At 38.8% G+C, this 20296-nt stretch overlaps 1 protein-coding gene across 19 annotated transcripts in view, besides 2 other annotated features; it reads right to left on the bottom strand.

The window, feature by feature from the left end:
• Positions 1-20296, bottom strand: part of CEP57 (centrosomal protein 57) — a 42680-nt gene that overhangs the window by 22240 nt on the left and 144 nt on the right. For 10 of the 19 annotated variants that reach the window (NM_014679.5, NM_001243777.2, NM_001440871.1 and 7 more), the window contains exons 1-2: positions 19711-19956; positions 11066-11222 (exon numbers count right to left, since the gene is read on the bottom strand). In NM_014679.5, coding sequence (NP_055494.2) covers positions 11066-11222; positions 19711-19755 — 202 coding nt within the window. In that variant the 5' untranslated portion in view covers positions 19756-19956. Of the gene's footprint in view, positions 1-11065; positions 11223-14894; positions 14939-15920; positions 16234-19710; positions 19957-20296 lie in introns of those variants that run through there. The other 9 variants (NM_001440870.1, NM_001440875.1, NM_001440878.1 and 6 more) reach the window with 5 other exon arrangements.
• Positions 19048-19711: an enhancer, noted in NCBI's record as "H3K27ac hESC enhancer chr11:95523907-95524570 (GRCh37/hg19 assembly coordinates)". NCBI's record gives its function as "activates a minimal SCP1, AML or CMV promoter by ChIP-STARR-seq in primed H9 embryonic stem cells {active_cell/tissue: H9 hESC(primed)}" and the evidence as "EXISTENCE:reporter gene assay evidence [ECO:0000049][PMID:30033119]".
• Positions 19675-20144: an enhancer, noted in NCBI's record as "active region_5417". NCBI's record gives its function as "activates an Ori minimal core promoter by ATAC-STARR-seq in GM12878 lymphoblastoid cells {active_cell/tissue: GM12878}" and the evidence as "EXISTENCE:reporter gene assay evidence [ECO:0000049][PMID:35858748]".

Genomic DNA, 20296 nt, shown 5'->3' with positions numbered 1-20296 from the left:
AGGGTTTTCTAAATATACAACCATGTAATCTGCAAACAGGGACAATTTGACTTCCTCTTTTCCTAACTGAATACCCTTTATTTCTTTCTCCTGCCTGATTGCCCTGGCCAGAAGTTCCAACACTATGTTCAATAGGAATGGTGAGAGACGGCATCCCTGTCTTGTGCCAGTTTTCAAAGGGAATGCTTCCAGTTCTTGCTCATTCAGTATGATATTGGCTGTGGGTTTGTCACAAATCACTCATATTGTTTTGAGATACGTCCCATCAATACCTAGTTTATTGAGAGTTTTTAGCATGAAGGGCTGCTGAATTTTGTTGAAGGCCTTTTCTGCATCTACTGAGATAATCATGTGGTTTCTGTCTTTGGTTCTGTTTATATGATGAATTACGTTTACTGATTTGTGTACGTTGAACCAGCCTTGCATCCCAGAGATGAAGCCAACTTGATCTTGGTGGATAAGCTTTTTGATGTGCTGCTGGATTCGGTTTGCCAGTATTTTATTGAGGATTTTTGCATCAATGATCATCAGGGATATCGGTGTAAAATTCTCTTTTTCTGTTGTGTCTCTGCCAGGCTTTGGTATCAGGATGATGCTGGCTTCATAAAATGAGTTTGGGAGGATTACCTCTTTTTCCATTGATTGGAATTGTTTCAGAAGGAATGGTACCAGCTCCTCTTTGTGCCTCTGGTAGAATTTGGCTGTGAATCCGTCTGGTCCTGGACTTTTTTTGGTTGGCAGGCTATTAATTATTGCCTCAATTTCAGAGCCTGCTATTGGTCTATTCAGGGATTCAACTTCTTCCTGGTTTTGTCTTGGGAGGGTGTATGTGTCCAGTAATTTACCCATTTCTTCTAGATTTTCTAGTTTATTTGCGTAGAGATGTTTATAGTATTCGCTGATGGTAGTCTGTATTTCTGTGGGATTGGTAGTGATATCTCCTTTATCATTTTTTATTGCATCTATTTGATTCTTCTCGCTTTACTTCTTTATTAGTCTTGCTAGTGGTCTATCAATTTTGATCTTTTCAAAAAACCAGCTCCTGGATTCACTGATTTTTTGAAGGGTTTTTTGTGTCTCTATCTCCTTCAGTTCTGCTCTGATCTTAGTTATTTCTTGCCTTCTGCTAGCTTTTGAATGTGTTTGCTCTTGCTTTTCTAGTTCTTTTAATTGTGATGTTAGGGTGTCAATTTTAGATCTTTCCTGCTTTCTCTTGTGGGCATTTAGTGCTATAAATTTCCCTCTACACACTGCTTTGAATGTGTCCCAAAGAATCTGGTATGTTGTGTCTTTGTTCTCGTTGGTTTCAAAGAACATCTTTATTTCTGCCTTCATTTCATTATTCACCCAGTAGTCATTCAGGAGCAGGTTGTTCACTTTCCATGTAGTTGAGTGGTTTTGAGTGAGTTTCTTAATCCTGAGTTCTAGTTTGATTGCACTGTGGTCTGAGAGACAGTCTGTTATAATTTGTTCTTTTACATTTGCTGAGGAGTGCTTTACTTCCAACTATGTGGTCAGTTTTGGAATAAGTGTGATGTGGTGCTGAGAAGAATGTATATTCTATTGATTTGGGGTGGAGAGTTCTGTAGATGTCTATTAGGTTCGCTCGGTGCAGAACCAAGTTCAATTCCTGGATATCCTTGTTAACTTTCTGTCTCGCTGATCTGTCTAATGTTGACAGTGGGGTGTTAAAGTCTCCCATTATTATTGTGTGGGAGTCTGAGTCTCTTTGCAGGTCTCTATGGACTTGCTTTATGAATCTGGGTGCTCCTGTATTGGGCGCATATATATTTAGGTTAGCTCTTCTTGTTGAATTGATCCCTTTACCATTATGTAATGGCCTTCTTTGTCTCTTTTGATCTAGTCCGTTTTATCAGAGACTAGGATTGCAACCCCTGCCTTTTTTTGTTTTCCATTTGCTTGGTAGATCTTCCTCCATCCTTTTATTTTGAGCCTATGTGTGCCCCAGCATGTGAGGTGGGTCTACTGAATACAGCACACTGATGGGTCTTGACTCTTGGTATCCAATTTGCCAGTCTGTGTCTTTTAATTGGAGCATTTAGCCTGTTTACATTTAAGGTTAATATTGTTATGTGTGAATTTGATCCTATCATTATGATGTTAGCTGGTTATTTTGCTCGTTAGTTGATGCAGTTTCTTCCTAGTCTCGATGGTCTTTACAATTTGGCATGTTTTTGCAGTGGCTGGTACCGGTTGTTCCTTTCCATGTTTAGTTGTTCCTTCAGGAGATCTTGTAAGGCAGGCCTGGTGGTAACAAAATCTCTCAGCATTTGCTTGTCTGTAAAGGATTTTATTTCTCCTTCACTTACAAAGCTTAGTTTGGCTGGATATGAAATTCTGGGTTGAAAATTCTTTTCTTTAAGAATGTTGAATATTGGCCCCCACTCTCTTCTGGCTTGTAGTTTCTGCCGAGAGATCTGCTGTTAGTCTGATGGGCTTCCCTTTGCAGGTAACCTGACCTTTCTCTCTGGCTGCCCTTAATATTTTTTCCTTCATTTTAACTTTGGTGAATCTGACAATTATGTGTCTTGGAGTTGCTCTCCTTGAGGAGTATCTTTGTGGCATTATCTGTATTTCCTGAATTTGAATGTTGGCCTGCCTTCCTAGATTGGGGAAGTTGTCCTGGATAATATCCTGAAGAGTGTTTTCCAACTTGGTTCCATTCTCCCCGTCACTTTCAGGTACACCAATCAGAGGCAGACTTGGTCTTTTCTCATAGTCCCATATTTCTTGGAGGCTTTGTTCATTTCTTTTTACTCTTTTTTCTCTAAACTTCTCTTCTCGCTTCATTTCATTCATTTGATCTTCAATCACAGATACCCTTTCTTCCACTTGATTGAATCGGCTACTGAGTCTTGTGCATGCGTCATGTAGTTCTCATGGCATGGTTTTCAGCTCCATCAGGTCATTTAAGGTCTTCTCTACGCTGTTTATTCTAGTTAGCCATTCGTCTAATCTTTTTTCAAGGTTTTTAGCTTCTTTGCAATGGGTTCAAATATCTTCCTTTAGCTCAGAGAAGTTTGTTATCACCGATCGTTTGAAGCCTTCTTCTCTCAACTCGTCAAAGTCATTCTCCATCAAGCTTTGTTCTGTTGCTGGCAAGGAGCTGTGTTCCTTTGGAGGAGAAGAGGTGCTCTGATTTTTGGAATTTTCAGCTTTTCTGCTTTGGTTTCTCCACATCTTTGTCGTTTTATCTACCTTTGGTCTGATGATGGTGACATGCAGATGGGGTTTTGGTGTGGATGTCCTTTTTGTTAGTTTTCCTTCTAACAGTCAGGACCCTCAGCTGCAGGTCTGTTGGAGATTGCTGGAGGTCCATTCCAGACCGTTTGCCTGGGTATCACCAACGGAAGCTGCAGAAAAGCAAATATTGCAGAATGGCAAACGTTGCTGCCTGGTCCTTCCTCTGGAGCCTTAGTCTCAGAAGGGGACCCGGCTGTATGAGGTGTCAGTCGGCCCCTACTGGGAGGTATCTCCCAGTTAGGCTACTTGGGGGTCAGGGATCCACTTGAAGAGGCAGTCTGTCCGTTCTCAGATCTCAAACTCCGTGCTGGGAAAACCACTGCTCTCTTCAAAGCTGTCAGACAGGAATGTTTAAGTCTGCAGAAGTTTCTGCTGCCTTTTGTTCAGCTATGGCCTACCCGGAGAGGTTAGTCTACAGAGGCAGGCAGGCCTCTTTGAGCTGCGGTGGGCTCCACCCAGTTTGAGCTTCCAGACCGCTGTTTACCTACTCAAGCTTCAGCAATTGCGGATGCCCCTCCCCCAGCCTCGCTGCAGCCTTGCAGTTGGATCTCAGACTGCTGTGCTAGCAGTGAGTGAGGCTCCATGGGCATGGGACCCTCAGAGCCAGGAACAGGATATAATCTCCTGGTGTGCCGTTTGCTAAGACCATTGGAAAAGCACAGTATTAGGGTGGGAGTGTCCTGATTTTCCAGGTACTGTGTGTCAAGGCTTCCCTTGGCTAGGAAAGGGAATGGCCCAACCCCTTGCGCTTCCCGGGTGAGACAACACCCTGCCCTGCTTCGGCTCATACTCCATGGACTGCACTCACTGTCTGACAAGCCCCAGTGAGATGAACCCGGTATCTCAGTTGGAAATGCAGAAATCACCCGTCTTCTGTGTCACTCACACTGGGAGCTGTAGACTGGAGCTGTTCCTATTTGGCCATCTTGGAACCGGACCAAGTTGTTCTTTATTTCCTTATTAATTATACCCAGCTTACTTCCAAAAAGCACTTAAAGAAAATGAACATTAAGACTAGGATTTTTTCTCAAATATCTTACAGATTACAGGATGGTTCTTTTGAACTCTGAAAAGCAAGCTGGCTTTGTGGTCACTTTTATAATTGGGTCAGAAGTCATCAGTGCTTTAACAACACAGTCTTGGGTGTGGTGTTTCCTCCCATCATGTTTTCTTTCTTTATATACTTGGACAGTTCTTCCCAACCTCGAGATCAGATAAACTTTGTATTTTTAAAATTATATTTACAGTTTCATATGTTTACATTTGTTAAGTCATAGAAAAAGTGTTTTTGTATTGAAAGAAAAACTTTAAATGTCAAATTGATCATACACTAAATTCACACACACATATATATATATATTAGATACTGTAACTCTTTGTTACATACACACCCTAAGACAGTTTCAGATCTTTCTTCTATTCTGGATTCCTTAATGTTAGGGAATTAGTGCCAGTATTTCAATTACTAAAATTTCATAAACATTGATTCTAACAGTCACCTATATTATATAAATCTTAAAACATTTCCAAGTAATTATTTAGAATCATTTTGTCTAAACACTAATTTAAACTATACACTAGGTAGGGAGAGCTGCCGTCTTTTACGAATTGAGTCCTCTTACTCAACCCAAAGTATTCTTGTCCATTTATTAACATAATTTATTCCTTCACCAAATTTTTCAGTGCCTAGGATATTACAGGTCTCAAATAGGAGACTAATACATTTTATCGAAGTCAGCTTATTCTTGCTGGTATGCAATGAGACTACAATATAACTAGAAAAAATGCAGACATGAAACAGACACACACACAGGAAGAAACCTGAAAAATCAACTGAAAAGACACTCAGAACTAAACAGAAGCCTAAATATAAGATTAATAATAAAGGGAACAATTCTTTTATATACCTGCAATAATCAGATAAGTACAATAGAAAAATAAAATTTTAAACGTCCTTTAATATCCATTGAGTTTTCTTAACCTCTTCTGAATCAGAGGCAAATTCACTAAAGACTTTGTAATATCAAACATTTTTTGCACTCCTTCATTAAATTATACCCAACAGTACACAATGTTGCTGATACTTTATTTCTGCACTTATATTTATTATTGAAACTGGCTGAACATTTCATTTTTGTTCTTTATGTCAGCAACTGTAGTATCACAAGGATATGCTGGGGTGTGCACTTTTGTTTTATGTATTCTTGAATGGCTTACATATCCCTGTTTAAATGCGTAACGTTTTATTGTTTTCTTTTTCAAAAAATTACTGAATAAATGCAGAGGATAATTTAGAAAACACATGATTGAAAAGGAAAAAAATCACACCCATAATCTTACCATCTAGATGTAGTAATTATAAACATTTTATTGAAATTCTATAGATTTTAAAAATGCTTTTATATGTGAGATTGACCTTTACTATGTCATATTTATTTATATATGAGCACACTTTAAATGCAATTTATAATATTAAGCATTTTCATTAACAATGTATAGCTCTCATTATGTATTCAAGTCTTCACGTATGCACCTCAGTAAGCACATAAAATTGGCTTGAGTTGACTTATCAGAGGTGACTTTTTTTATCCAGTCTCTTCCTGAGACCACGGGCCGCAGTGTTCCAGTTCTGCTTTGACAACTCTCATCACGCCCACCTTTTCAAAGTATTCCAGAAGTTGCCTCAGGGGCGCCTAGAGCTTTGTTCTCCAGTCGCTACCCACATTTAAAATTCCATCATCTCTGCTACTGTACCCCAACATTTAAGGCTTATACCTAATGCCAAGACTCCTAATACTGTCCCTAAGGTTTTAGGCTTTAGTTCCATCCTTACTGTCCTGGCTTGAAACTCATTTTATTTCTGTACTTGGGTATTTCTCCTTCTCACTTTTAAACTAGGTATTATTTGTTTTTATTTAGTATTACATGAAGCTGCTATTTGCCTATACTAACTGTTTGACAGTAGTACTGCCATCCATCGTTTTTATTTGTATGGCAGTAAACACCTTTGTCAGCTATTTATTTTTTGTTTCATTTTATTTCAGGTTTTACTTAAAAAGCATATATTGGCTTTTGAGTTGACGTAATCACATTTGTCATACCTGATAAATTTCATATTTTTCATTATATTTTGTATTTCCTAATTTTGTTTCCTGAAATTTTTCTTTTATTTTGCTATATGAAGTATAGCACACATCTTTGGAACTGTTTCCCTGACTTATATACCTCTTTTTCTGGGAGTTTCCCCTTACCTCAACATGGCTATACCTACAACTTTACTATCCTTTGACAAATCTGGCTAACTGATCCACAAGGGACACACGCTGAAACCCAGATAATGCTTGCTTGTCTTCTTGGGACTTTTGTCCGAAACATCAAAGCCAGAACTGGTTCAACTTAAAACTCAGTAATTTTTAGTAATGTTTCCTGCTAGGCAAAAAAAAAGCTCTTTTGTAGCTAGAAAAAATGAAGCTAGTTACAAGCCGAAAAAAAAAAAAGATGGAAAGTGCTAGCCATGTTTGAGTCCCTAATGTTCTTCAAGTCCACCTGGGTCTATTTATTGCTTGGGACATTTCTGTCATTAACATAAACACAGGTTTATGTTGTTGTAGATTAAGGGGCGGGGGGGCAGGGGCCAAACCTGTAATATGCATCTTTGATTTCTCTAATATTGCTGTCTTGGTAGTTCTCCACCTTTCTGACTTTTCCTACTTTTTAGTTTACTGTTTTAATGGTGGTATTTTCCAAAGCCCTTTTCTCCCTCTACTTTCTTTTTCTGGAGAAACCCCTCTATACTCATAGGCTTCATCCACTACTGTATCCTTGATGATGTCTGAGTTCATTAGTAGTGTTCTCTATTATACTTGACTTTTTAATTTTCATTTGCTTAGTATTCATCTCCATCTAATTCACAGGCATCTCAAATTTGATACAGCCAAAATTATATCAATTCCTCTAAGTATGCTTTTTTTGTGTCATCTGTCCTAATCATACCCCTAATCATCTTCACTAGAAATCTTAGACTCAAAGATTTCTCCATCTTCCTCATTCCCCACAACAAAATATGCATAAATCTTTCCTTAATCAGTCTCCTGTTCTGTCTTGTTGCTTCAGTTTAGACTTACTTCTGATGTAAACCTCAGTCCCTCAAACATATAGACCACATACAATGTGTGAAGCACTCTGCAAGGCGTGAAGACTGTCTTTGGCCTCAAGGAGCTATCATCTAGATTCTGGAACAAATGCTACTATCTACATTCTTCTCACACCTGGTAAAAAAGTATTTACATGAACAAAATACTACTCTGGACATACTCATATCCTTGATTACAGTGGTTCTCAAAATATGGGGCATAGGCACATTGAGGGCAGAGCTCATGAGGCCTTTCCCAGGGCCTGTGAGGTCAACACTATTTTCATAATACTATTAATAGTAAGACTTCACTTTTTTCACTGTGTTGAAGTTTGCCAATGATCATGCAAAAGCAATGTTGGGTAAAATTCCTAATTTTAGCTCAAATCAAGGTAGTAACACTAAACTACTATTTTAGGCATTGTATTCTTCACTGTCATAAATTCCCAGTAAGAAAAACTAAGCCACAATGTCCTTGATGAAGCAATAAAAATCATGTCAGGTTTGCCAGGCACGGTGGCTCACACCTGTAATCCCAGCACTTTGGGAGGCTGAGGTGGGCGGATCACGAGGTCAAGAGATCGAGACCATCCTGGCCAACATGGTTAAACCCTGTCTCTACTAAAAATACAAAAATTAGCCAGGTGTGGTGGCATGTGTCTGTAATCCCAGCTACTCAGGAGGCTGAGGCAGGAGAATTGCTTGAACCTGGGAGGCAGAGGTTGTAGTGAGCCAAGATCATGCCACCGCACTCCAGCCTGGGTGACAGAGTGAGACTGTCTCAAAAAAAAAAAAAAAAAAATCATGTCACGTTTATAAACCTTTCACATGCTGTACTCTTGTTGAACTTTTCTTCTTATAGAACTGTGCTCATTCTTTAAAACTCAGATTATCTATTATTTCGTTTTTCCTCTGAGAGGTTTTCCTCTCCTTTAACCTCCCCAACACACTTATCCCTATCCCCAACAAATGTCTTTTCTGAACTCTCTTGGTCTTTGTTCATATCTCACAGCCTTTATTTTTTTTCTGGGTGAGAAGGGGATAGTGATTTCTGTGTCTTTCCTTCCCATTTGGAAAGTAAGTATCGTTGGATTAAAACACTATAAAAGGATAATGGATTATAATAATTATCCTGGGACATTGCTTAAATAGTTCACCGCATCATGCTCTAAAGGCATAAAAGCTTAAAGGTTACTTTTTATCTTGTTTATTTCTCCTCTCCGTCTCCTCCCTGCTTGTCTCACTTCTCTTTTATTCCTTAAAACCACTGATGTTGCACTCAAGCAGAATTTAGCTCTATTAGTAACATGCTGTGCTAAAATTTTTCTGATTCTCGGTGAATAAATCTGCCTTCTTAATATTTCTTATTCTTTGCTAGTAATTTGTCATTTTTTTGAACTTTTTAAAAGTTTCCTTTCATGGGTGTAAAGATCAGAACTAGATACAATATTATAGTTGAAGGATTAATATCTAATTCTTAGATTTTGTGTTCCTGTTAGAACTTTGTAAATGGATATTTTGTTTTGTGCTTATTTTTGAATAAGAAACTTACTGCAACTGATTTTTGCTCTACTGTGGGCTTCAGTCATTTTTTTTTTTTTTTTTTTGCTTTTTAAAATCTATGTTGTTTGAATGTCATGCAACTTAATTTTCTTAAATTGCCAACCTGCTATACTCTGATGTGTAGAACCTTATCAGTTGCTTTAACCATTAATTAAAAATTTTCGTTATCATCGAGACACAGTATCTTATAATAAAGAGGCTTCTAGGTTAGTGATTACAGAGTACTAAAATTCTTAAAAGACATCACACTATTTAGTTACTTTTATTTCAGTAAACACTTTTCAGCACCCATTATAGGTTAGGATTTAAGCTGGTATTTGGATATCATTACCTACTTGGTATTTTACTGTACAATCAGTCCAGTTTACAAAACAGGTTCATTCTGAGATTTTTAGGATACTTACAATATATATCCCAACTGAAACAAAAAATGTTCCTCAACTAATTTACAAATGCCTGTTTAGCCTACGATGTCAAAAATATTTCTTTTACCTAGAGAATCATTAACACATAGAATTGTTGCAATATTAGTGATTAAACACAACTTTCAAAAAAAGGAAATGCCACAGCATCCCAAATAAAGCAAAGATATTTCATTTAAACTTCACACAAAGTATGAGGTAGGTGTATTTTAAAAGATACAGATGAAGAAACATCTAAAAGACGATTAACAAATTCAATATCAAAACCATCTTTTCATTATCTGAGTGGGCCCAATCTGATAACATAACCAGAAAATTTTCTCCCGCTGTGGTTAGAGAAATGTAACAACAGAACTCAGAGAGATTTGAAACATAAGAGACTTGGCCAGGCGCGGTAGCTCATGCCTGTAATCCCAGCACTTTGGGAGGCCAAGGCGGGTGGATCACGAGGTCCAGAGATTGAGACCATCTGGGCCAACATGGTGAAACCTCGTCCCTACTAAAAATACAAAAACTAGCTGGGCGCGTCTGTAGTCCCAGCTACTCAGGAGGCTGAGGCAAGAGAATAGCAATAGCTTGAATCCAGGAGGCGGAGGTTGCAGTGAGCCGGGATCCCGCCACTGCACTCCAGCCTGGTGACAGAGTGAGACTCTGTCTCCAAAAAAACAATAAAAAATAAAAAAAAAAAAGAAACATGAGAGACTACCTACTGTTACCGTAGGAGACAATAAGGGAAACATGAAGGAAGGAGGACAGTTTCTAGGAGCAAAGACTGTCCTCAAGTAAAAGTCTGCAAAGCAACAGAATCTCAGTACTGCAATGACAAGGAACTGAATTTGGCTAAGAATCTTAATGAGCTTGGAAGCAGATCTTCCCCAGAGCCTCTAGTAAAGAACAGAGCCCCAAGCAAAGCCTTGATTTCAGCCTTGTAAGGCTCTAAACAGAGGACCCAGATAAGCCTACACAGATTTCCGACCTACAGAAAACTGAGATAACAAATATTTAAAGCTAAGTTCATGGCAATTTGTTAAGGCGACAAGAAAACTAATACAGATGGCAGGTTCCAGGAATAAATGTATTTCAAAGTAGCCAGAGCAAAGGATGGGAAAGGAAAAAACAGAAGACAAGTTAGGGATGAAGCTGGTGAGGCATATAGGGTCTAGGTTATGAAAAATTAAGAATTTATTATGTAAGCTATGAAGAGATGCTAAAGCTTTAATTTTGTGGGAGAGATGATGGATAATGACAAATGACAGAAATGTTGTTAACTGGGGATGAGGAGGAGAAAACAGGCAGGGAGATTAATGAGGAATGTACTATGAACATCTGGGCTACAGATGATGAAAGCCTGAACCAAAGCAATGAGAACACAAAAAGGCAGAAAAAACAGTATGCTTTTGGTATATTTCAGAAGCAAAAAAAGGTCTTCATTCCGGACTAATAGTGGGGATTACAGAGCAGTCACTGATGACTCAAAGTGTTTTAGCATCAGTAATTTGGTGGATGATGATGTTCAACAATCAATATAAGGAATACAAGAAAAGCATAATATTTTCTGGGGGCTGAAACTGGAAGCAAAGGGGAAATATATTTTCCTCTAATGGCAAAATAATGGAGGACAAAGTTAAGAATTTTAAAGCAGCAAGAAAACACAAATAACATTTATTTCGTTAGGCTCGATTACCTCTGCTGTTGCTTTCTGGATAGGCAAGTGTAGGCTTACTTGGGGAGCGTCGTAGATCACTATTAAGGAAAGGCTTATCCGAAGGATATACTACATATGGAGATGAAGAATGCCGAACCATGCTTCCATTAGACCTTGATGGCTCAGCAAAGCTGTTCTAAAAAATAAAGACACAAATTACCTTTCAAAAGTGTGAACCACAAATAGCAGATTTAAATCACAAATATTTATGACTGAGATTGACTGTCCATACAGACAACAGAAAAAATCCACTGACTAGAAACAATACAATTCAATCATTAAAGAAATACAACTTTTAAAGTGTTTCATATTAGTCTGAATATAGCCATATGCCAGACACAAGAAGAAAATAATGTTCATACAACTTGAATACAAATGCTGTGCAGAAATACTTAAATGATACAATGAATGTAAATACCGCAGTTAAAAATATATACTGTGAAATATACGTTCAGAAAAATAAAAACATTATTTTTACAGGACCAGAAACTGCTACAAATGACTGAATTACTCTATTCCCCATCCACAAACTACTACTTGAATATTTATAGTATTCAAAACTCCAGAAAGAAAATAAGGCACTGTCCTTGCCTCAAATACTTTACATTTAATTAACAAAAAAGAAAATAATTAGAAAACATTAAGGCCCATCAAACACTCAAACATAAAACTTTATTTCCACAGTACACCATTCTGTCATGAATGAGATTCTGTTAAATTTAGGATTCCACATAATAATTTCAACCCAGGAGATGCTAACTGTGGAGTTTTATTTGTTGTAGGCGACTTCCTACTGACAGATGGTCCTAGACTGGGGGAAGTAACTAAGAAGCTGAGGGCTAAGGTGGAAGATATGACTACCAGCTATTCAAAATGTTCATCCACTTTCCTTCCTCAAACGGCCACAGCAAACTATGTTTTTCAATTCTTACCTTTGAAGATTTACATTTACCAGAATAATCCGTGTTCATAAAAGTACAAGAGCACAATGAATATTTAAAACAGTAAACAATCTCCTGAAACAAAGGCTATCGAAATACCTGCACTGTATTTAAATCTTATTTAAAATTAAAGATTTTACTTCCATGTTAAAAATCATGCAAATTTCCAGGTGATTTAAGAAAGCAAATATAAAACATTTTCTATTTATATAAATATAAAACACACTATGGCTATGACAATCAAAAGTGGGGACAAAGAGCTTAGGAGGGTAGGGCCAAGTCTTAAAAGTGGTACTCAAATAAATAAGTGCTAAGTCTACTATAGTATGTTCATATATAACAAAGACTAGTATTTGTCATTTTCCAAACTTAATGGCAAATTGGCATCTGGTTTTACAGGTAACTGGAAAATAGGATGAGTTTTCAATTCTTTATAATATTGTCAAAGGTCTTGCAAAGCATCCTCAATTACTGCATAGCTTAATTTTAAATGTCACAGAGAACCTCAAGTTTTCATTGGTTATTTACAACCCACCAGAATCCTATCATTTAATATTCAAAAATATTAAGTGACTTGCCGACCACCCTCTGCCCAGTCAGGGGAATCCCATTAACTATGTGATTAACTAACAAACTAGTTCCCCAAATGGAACTACCTCTGTTCTACATTTTGTATGTTAGTGGGCTTGCCCTTTACTATTTTATATCACTCCTCATGACATATACATTTTTATTATCTGTATGCCCTGTGGTATAATAAAAAATATATTTAGTCTTTTGTCCTTGGTTTCAGATACAGATTCAAAAACTCCTAGAATTTCTTAAGTGATAGGGTATCCTTGTTAGGCTGATGAAGGGACTCAAGGTAGGGCACCTAGGTAGCTTCAGGTTTGAAGGCATCTTCTGGAAGCTGGTTGCCAGAAAAACCAACCACTAGATTATAAAGAGCTACAGATTTCAGCCAGGCATGGTGGCTCATGCCTGTAATCCCAGCACTTTGGGAGGCCGAGCTGGGCGGATCACTTGAGGTCAGGAGTTCGAGACCAGCCTGGCCAACATGGTGAAACTCTGTCTCTAACTAAAATACAAAGAAATTAGTCAAGTGTGGGGGTGTGCCCTGTAATCCCAACTACTCAGGAAGCCAAGGCAGGAGAATCACTTGAACCCAGGAGGTGGAGGTTGTGGTGAGCCAAGATTGGGCCACTGCACTACAGCCTAGGCAAGAGAGTGAGACTCCGTCTGTGTGTGTGTGTGTTGGGAGGGGGGTGGGGTGGGGGGGAAGAGTCACAAATTTCAGCCCTAGGCCCTGACCTTAGGGGAGGTAAGGGACAGATTGAGCCCAGTGACCAGCGGACAATAATTTACTCAATTATGTATTTATGTAATGAAAGCTCAATGAAAACTCTTGAATAATGAGGTTTGGGGAGCTTCTAGATTGTTGAACATACTGATATGCTGGGAAGGTGCTGCACCAGAGGATACAGAAGCCCTTTCACACCTTGCCCTATGTCTCCTCCATTTGGCTGTTTCTGAGTTGTGTCCTTTATAAAACTGAAATTGCTTAAGAACAGTCTTTCCTGAGTACTGTGAGCCGTTCTTGGAAAGCTGCAGGAATCCCATAATTTGTAGTCAGCTGAGCAGAAATGCAGATGCTCTGCGAACTCTGACTGACTTGGGGGCAGGCAGTCTTGTGAAACGGAGCCCCTTAATGTATGGGGGTCTGAGCAACATCTGGGCAGTGTCAGAATTAAAATAATTGTAGTACACCCAGTTGGTGTAGAATTTTTGCTGGAGAAATTAAGTTCTAATAAAGGAGTTTTATTATGTTCAATAAATCTGTTGAATATTAACTATACATTTCCTCCGCAAAACAGGAAACTGCACATTACTTATAAAAGATTATCCTTTTCAACAAAATCACTACAACCCTTTAAGAGATCACCAAAAGCTTTTGGGCTTCTTTATATTTAACAAATAGCACAAATATCATAGGAAGGCTGCGTAGAAAGGAGCCCAATTCTAACTCCCAATCCACTAATCTCTCCATGACCCTAAGCATTCAGTAAAAATTATTCCAACCAAAATATGATTGTAGGAGAAACTTTCAGGATTAAAGGCAAAATGTTTAACCTGATCACTAGCTTTTCCTGCAGCCTTTAGTTCTTAGGGCAAATATCTCATTTAGGAACACATAATTCAAATATTTATTGAACATCTTTTTATGACACTGTGTGAAGTATGAAGCATAATTTAAAAATGCATATTACTTGCTTTCTTTATAAGTGGCACATGCAACACAGCTGCAAGATATTACCTAGATAAAACTCAAATACAAAACAGTAGGTGGGAACTGGTAAATTGGATGTAATAGAGACTAAGTGCAAATTAAATTCAGATGCATTCAACAGAACACTGCTTCAAAACAGTATGGTAAAGGAAGGTCTTTATTAGTGCTGAAATCGATACTGGGTCTTGTAGATTGACATGTATTCTGATAGGCAAGCTAGAAATGGATATAAAAGGCAATTATTTCCAGGTTAATGAATACATCAGTTTAGCTGAAAAAAAGAGTTTGTGTACACATGTTGAGGAAATAAAATTGGAGAAGTCAAGGTCCAATGGTGGAGGAACATGATGTACAGCTCTGAGCAGTGCAATCAATGCAACAGTTCCAAACTAAATATCAATACGATCGTCAACAAATGTAGAAAAGCATTCAATAAAATTCAACATCCAGCCATTATTTTTTAAAAAACTTACTTCCTTATGATAATATGAAGTTTTACAAGAAAAGATGGCAAACATACTTAATGGTGGAAAACTTGAAATATTCCTTTTAAAATCAGGAGTAAGACAAAGATACCTACATCAATTCTGGTCAACATTGTACTTCATTTCCCTAGTCTGCACACTAAGAAAAAAAAAAAGAATAACAGCTATTAAGATTGAAAAGGAAGAATCCCAATTTCGTATCATGACTAAATAGAACAAAACAAAAAATCCTCAATTATGAGAATTAAGTCTGGAAGATTGCTGAGTAAAATAGATATGTAAGAGTCAGTAATTTTATATATTAGAAAATGCAACTTATGAAAATATATATCACACAATTAAAAACTAGAAATAAACTGAACAATATACAAGACATGAAATTATACAAGTACTGAAAAATGTTAAAGTTCTAAATAAATGGAGTAACATAACATTCAGACAGAAGGGTCAATATCCTAAACGTATCAGTTACACCCAAATTAAGCTAGAAATTCAATAAAATCTAAACCAAAATTCCAACAGCAGGTTCCAGAATTTCTACTGAAGAAAAGCAAAGGACCAACAATAGCTAATATTTCTCTTGAGTAACAAGGAGGTAAATGACCCCCCCACCTCCAAGTGGGTATCTAAGTAGGAGAGACAAATACAACAAAGGGACAAAGAGCCAGGTAACACACCCATACACATATGGAAATGAACATATTGCAAACCATTGGGGATAGGATGAATTTTCAACAAGTAGTGTGGGGACAATTGTGTATTTTAAGTAAAACCGTTACACTGGATCCCTATCTCACAGCATACAAATTAATTTCAAGTAAATTAAGGACATAAAAGGCTTCAACTTTAAAATAAGTAGGAAAAAAATATAGAAGAATACAACCAAGGCCTTGGAGAAAGGAAGAATTTCTTAAACAGAAATCACTAATTATAAAAAGACTAACAAATTTTACATTAAAAGTAACAACAACTATTAATCGAAAGATATCAAAGACCAGCCAAGATGTCTCTGGAACAGTCTTAACAGACAAAAACAGGCAAAGGACATGAACAGGTATTTCACAGAAGAACACACACACACACACTAGTAAAGGTTTGAAAAAAACAGGGTGCATACTCACCAATGATAAGAGGTGCACAAATCAGAAAATAGGATACCATTTCACACACACAGCAAAAATTTACAAGTGGGACGATACCATCCATTTAAGAGGACATAAAATAAAGAGGGTTGTTGGTATAATCACTTGGTAAAACAATTTAGTATGACCGAGTAAAGCTGAAGACGCACATACTCTGTGAACCAGATAATTCATTCAGTTATATTTGCTGAACGATTTTCTCTCTCTTCTTTCTTGAAAATGATACGGGTTGAGTCACAGTACATATTCCATGACCCACTACTGAGCTGTAATCCAGAGCCCAGCCTCTGGTCTGGAAAAAAAAAAGAAAAATCACTGCCCTAGAGTTGCCCCTTGCAAACTTTTTCTCTCAGGACCCCTTTACACTCTAAAAGATCTAGTGAAAAGAATGGCACTATTTTACATTTCTGCAGATCTCTTTAATGTTTGCTTTAAAAAAAGAATGCTGGATTCTCTTATCTAGTTCTGCATTCGCTCTGTTGGATATGTTATTTTGTTTGACTTATTAAAGATCTAGTCTACCACAAACGTGGTCATTACAGAAGGATCTTGTAGACTCTGAGAGGGTCTTGGAGATCTCCAAGGGTTGTGAGACCATACTTCGAGAACTGCACTCTAGAGAAACATTTGCCATGTACAGCATATAACAATGAATACAAGATTGTTTCTAATATCTGGCAAACAAATGAACAGCAAAACCCATTAAATCCAAAGCCCATTAAGATACTGTCATTTACTAGCTAGAGAACTTTGACTCAACCTCTCTGTGCCTCATTTTGCTCATTTGAAAAAGGAAATATTAATGCCAATCTCAGAAGGTTATTGTGAGGATTAAATGAGTTAATGCATGAAAAGGGTCTTTAAGGATTATGCCTTGCCAGGTAGTCCTATATAAATACCATACATTATAATCTTAAAATACGTGGTAGTGGGTGGGTGTGGGAAGGAGAAAGAAGACACAGAGGAACATGAAGGTATTCATTTTATTATTCTCAAAAAGTAAATCTTATATTTAATATTATAAAATGTATGATAGCCATAAAACATTTTTAAGGGAAATTAATATGGAGCTACTGTGCAGCTTGGTCGAAGGACCAAAAGTCAGAGGGACAAATCAAGAGATTAGGTCATTAATCACCAAGGTTATTGTGAAAATATTACAAGGCTGACATGAAAGACATTCTTGTGTATTTCAACACAATGCTGCCCATACCTCCATATGGAATTAATTTCATTATGCCCAATCATAGTTGCTTTCCTGCCTTTTCCACCAGTCGAAGTTTATCAATTCCAGAGCAATCACTCAATAAACGTTACCTAGAACCTAACTGAAACCTATCGCCCTACTTCCATGCTGTTCACATTTGAGATTTACATGGTCACTGCTTCCCAAAGACGGTTATTTATGAATCTACTTGTTAAAAATCTTTGCCTGTAAAGCATCTCAATGTACTTATAACTAGCTCCGTATGAGTTTATCAATGTCGAAAACAGTTGAATATAACAGTTGTTAATCTTCATAACCGTGAAATCTGAATACGAGTTGTGTTCTCAGTTCATGGTATAGTTTTAACAAGTTTTTTTTTTTTTAAATGTTGCCTACTGTTAAGATCAGCTGTTTGATAAGCTAAGTGCTTTTCCAACGCTGTTGGAAATGGCAGCCTTATTTCTGATGGGACATCTAAGCAGGACGTTTTCTTACGCACCAAGAAACCAACTAAATTTAGTCATTTTTGTTTTGAGAAACAGTAACTTCCAAAATAGACATTTTGATGTAGCAGATTGAGTTATGGTTGTTATACTTTGATTTGTGGAGGTTCCTAGATATTCTTAGTGTACCCTTGATATTTAGAATCCTATTAAAGCTGAGCTTAGCACAAAAAAAATATGCTTTCCTAATGAACAGTCTTTGGTATTTCTGTCAAGGGTACCGTATAAGTATTAACAGCTGACTATATCCCAGTGCCAATGCTCACCTAGGTGTCCTTGGCATAGTGCAGCTCAATTAAACGTTTATTTAATATTTTATTTTATGGAGACAGGGTCGCTCTGTCGCCCAGGCTGGAGAGCAGTGGCACTATCATACCTCACTTCAGCCTCAGTGATCCTCCCGCCTCAGCCTCACTAGTAGCTGGTATTACAGGCATGAGCCACGCACCCAGACTCAATTCAACATTTGTAAGAGTATTCCTTGTTCGGTCTCCAAGTGCTTAACTTTTGAGAGCCGTGAAAAGCCCTCTTCTCCCAAGTTTAATCACATCTCCTATAAAATCTCATCCATCTGCTGACACTTCCAATAGTTTTTTACTTTTTTCTTTTACTGACCTAATCCTGAATAACCTTAAATTGCTGCTTTCCTTACTTCTCCTTAACTTCCCCAGACCTCTCTGCAAACTTCTAATTCCCATTCGGCTGAAACACTGTAATACTTCTAGTCCCATTATTACAAATTCTAACAAGTCTCCAAAAGCTGAAACTGACTTCTCCAAGGTGACCAGGCTTTCTTAGCGTTTCCAACTCTTTCCCCCTAGATCCTAGAAAATAACTTTACCCTGATACTCTTCTAGTTCCTTCCCTCACCATCCTTCTTTTTTCACGTTTTTACCTACGTTTCCAATTCACCTCATCCAGCTCTACCTCCGTATTACTTCTTCTCATTCCGAACTATCTCAAGTTTCCTAAAAGCACCTACTGTTCTAGCACATACTCCAAAATTCCCGCACTGCCTTTTTCTCCTTTCTCTACTCTTGGGACAAGCAATCACAATTCCTTCGACACGCAACTAGCTCCATCTTCCCTTCTAGGAAACCTTCTCTAGCCTACCCAAGCACTGTTAATCACTCCCCTCTAGATTATTCTACTACGGTAGCACTTCCTAAACTATACTGCGCAGTAATCACTAATTACGTGTAGTTTCTCTTCAGTGTTTTTCTCCTTCAAAGCAGGGTTTCTATTCTGTTCATTTGGACCCTAACAGTATACCAGGCATCGAACATTTGCTAACTGGAGAAATAAGAGCTCCAACATTTACTTCCTATCAAAGCTTTCCAATGCCGCGGTTTTCAAAAACCTAAGCATTCGACACTCCAATTTGAGAAATACCAGTGAATACCAGTAACTAAACTGGATGGTGACATTTGATGAGGCGAAAACAATATTTAAAATCAATTCCCCCTGTCGCCTCTCCAAAAGGGCATTTCCACATTGAAGTTCCAGTAATTCTAGGTGACAGGAAGCGCGCGTTCTGGCTACGAGCATCACACAACGAAGTTAATGTGGATGGGAGTGGGAGGCACTGCAGGGATAGGAAACAGCATAAGCAACGACTAGTAAGCGCTCGAGAGACGGCGGACTACTATTCTGCAACGTCTCTTAAACACACTGGCGCGCCTCACCTGATCTGGCGAGTTTCCTAGAGGGGCCGCTGAACCCACGTGACCAAAAGAGCTACATTTTTGCAGGCCAGGGAGTGGGCAGTTATCCCAGCCGGCCCTTGGGAATGTTAGGCAACCGGGGTTGGTTGCTACGCCAAAAGGTGAATAAGGGCTGGGGAACAGGGGCGGCCAGCCCAGTTTCACTGGGAGCCAGAGGGTGCAGCTTCGACACAGCCACAGTGAATGGAAGCTTGGGGAGCGCGGGGCAATCTAGGCATTCCCGCCGACCTCCAGAATTGCGTCAGAAGCTGGACTGACAGCGCCCTGAAACGTGAGGAAACTCAAAGAGGCGCTTAGGGCCGACGTGGGGCCCACTCGCGCCAACTGCTTCTTACCGACAAGTGAGAACCAGAAGCCGCAGAGACAGACGCCGCCGCCATCTTTCAGCCTGCCCAGGGGGTCTCCGCACTTCGGGGGCGGTCTAGGTTCTCGTGCTCTTCTCCAAGACTCGGGAGCCGCCCACCAGCGGGGACCCTAGGCTGAACCCCTGATGGAAAAGGGCAAGGGTGCTGGTGCTGGGCTTGGAAACCCCTGCAACACACCCCCTCAGGGCCGCCTACGCTCACAGCTTACACAGAAAGGGCAACACGTCCTAACGGACGTCTTTCCTAGCCAATCAAAACAGCAGACGTCTTTCTGTAGTAGGAGAGAATCCGCCTCTTCCCTGGTGACGTCACAAGGTAGCGCGTAACGGGGCCCGCTGGGGCAGACAACGCCGGGGTTACAGGCCGGCTCTGCGGGGATTCTACGGAGGGTCGGGCCTCCTCCAGTAAGAAGCGTGGGCGAGTAGTGGTGTCGCCAGTGGCAACTGAAGGGAGTAATGGAGATAAAACAAAAGCGAAGGCGAAGTTAAAGCACTCCACGAGTTCCCTCGGATTAAACGCCGGAGAGAGCGTGAATTTGCCTCGGGGACGCCTCTCC

This window comes from Homo sapiens, chromosome 11, assembly GCF_000001405.40.
Source record: "Homo sapiens chromosome 11, GRCh38.p14 Primary Assembly".
Taxonomy (NCBI): Eukaryota; Metazoa; Chordata; class Mammalia; order Primates; family Hominidae; genus Homo; species Homo sapiens.
Note: the sequence above shows the minus strand (reverse complement) of the source record. Positions and strands in the feature narration are given on the sequence as shown.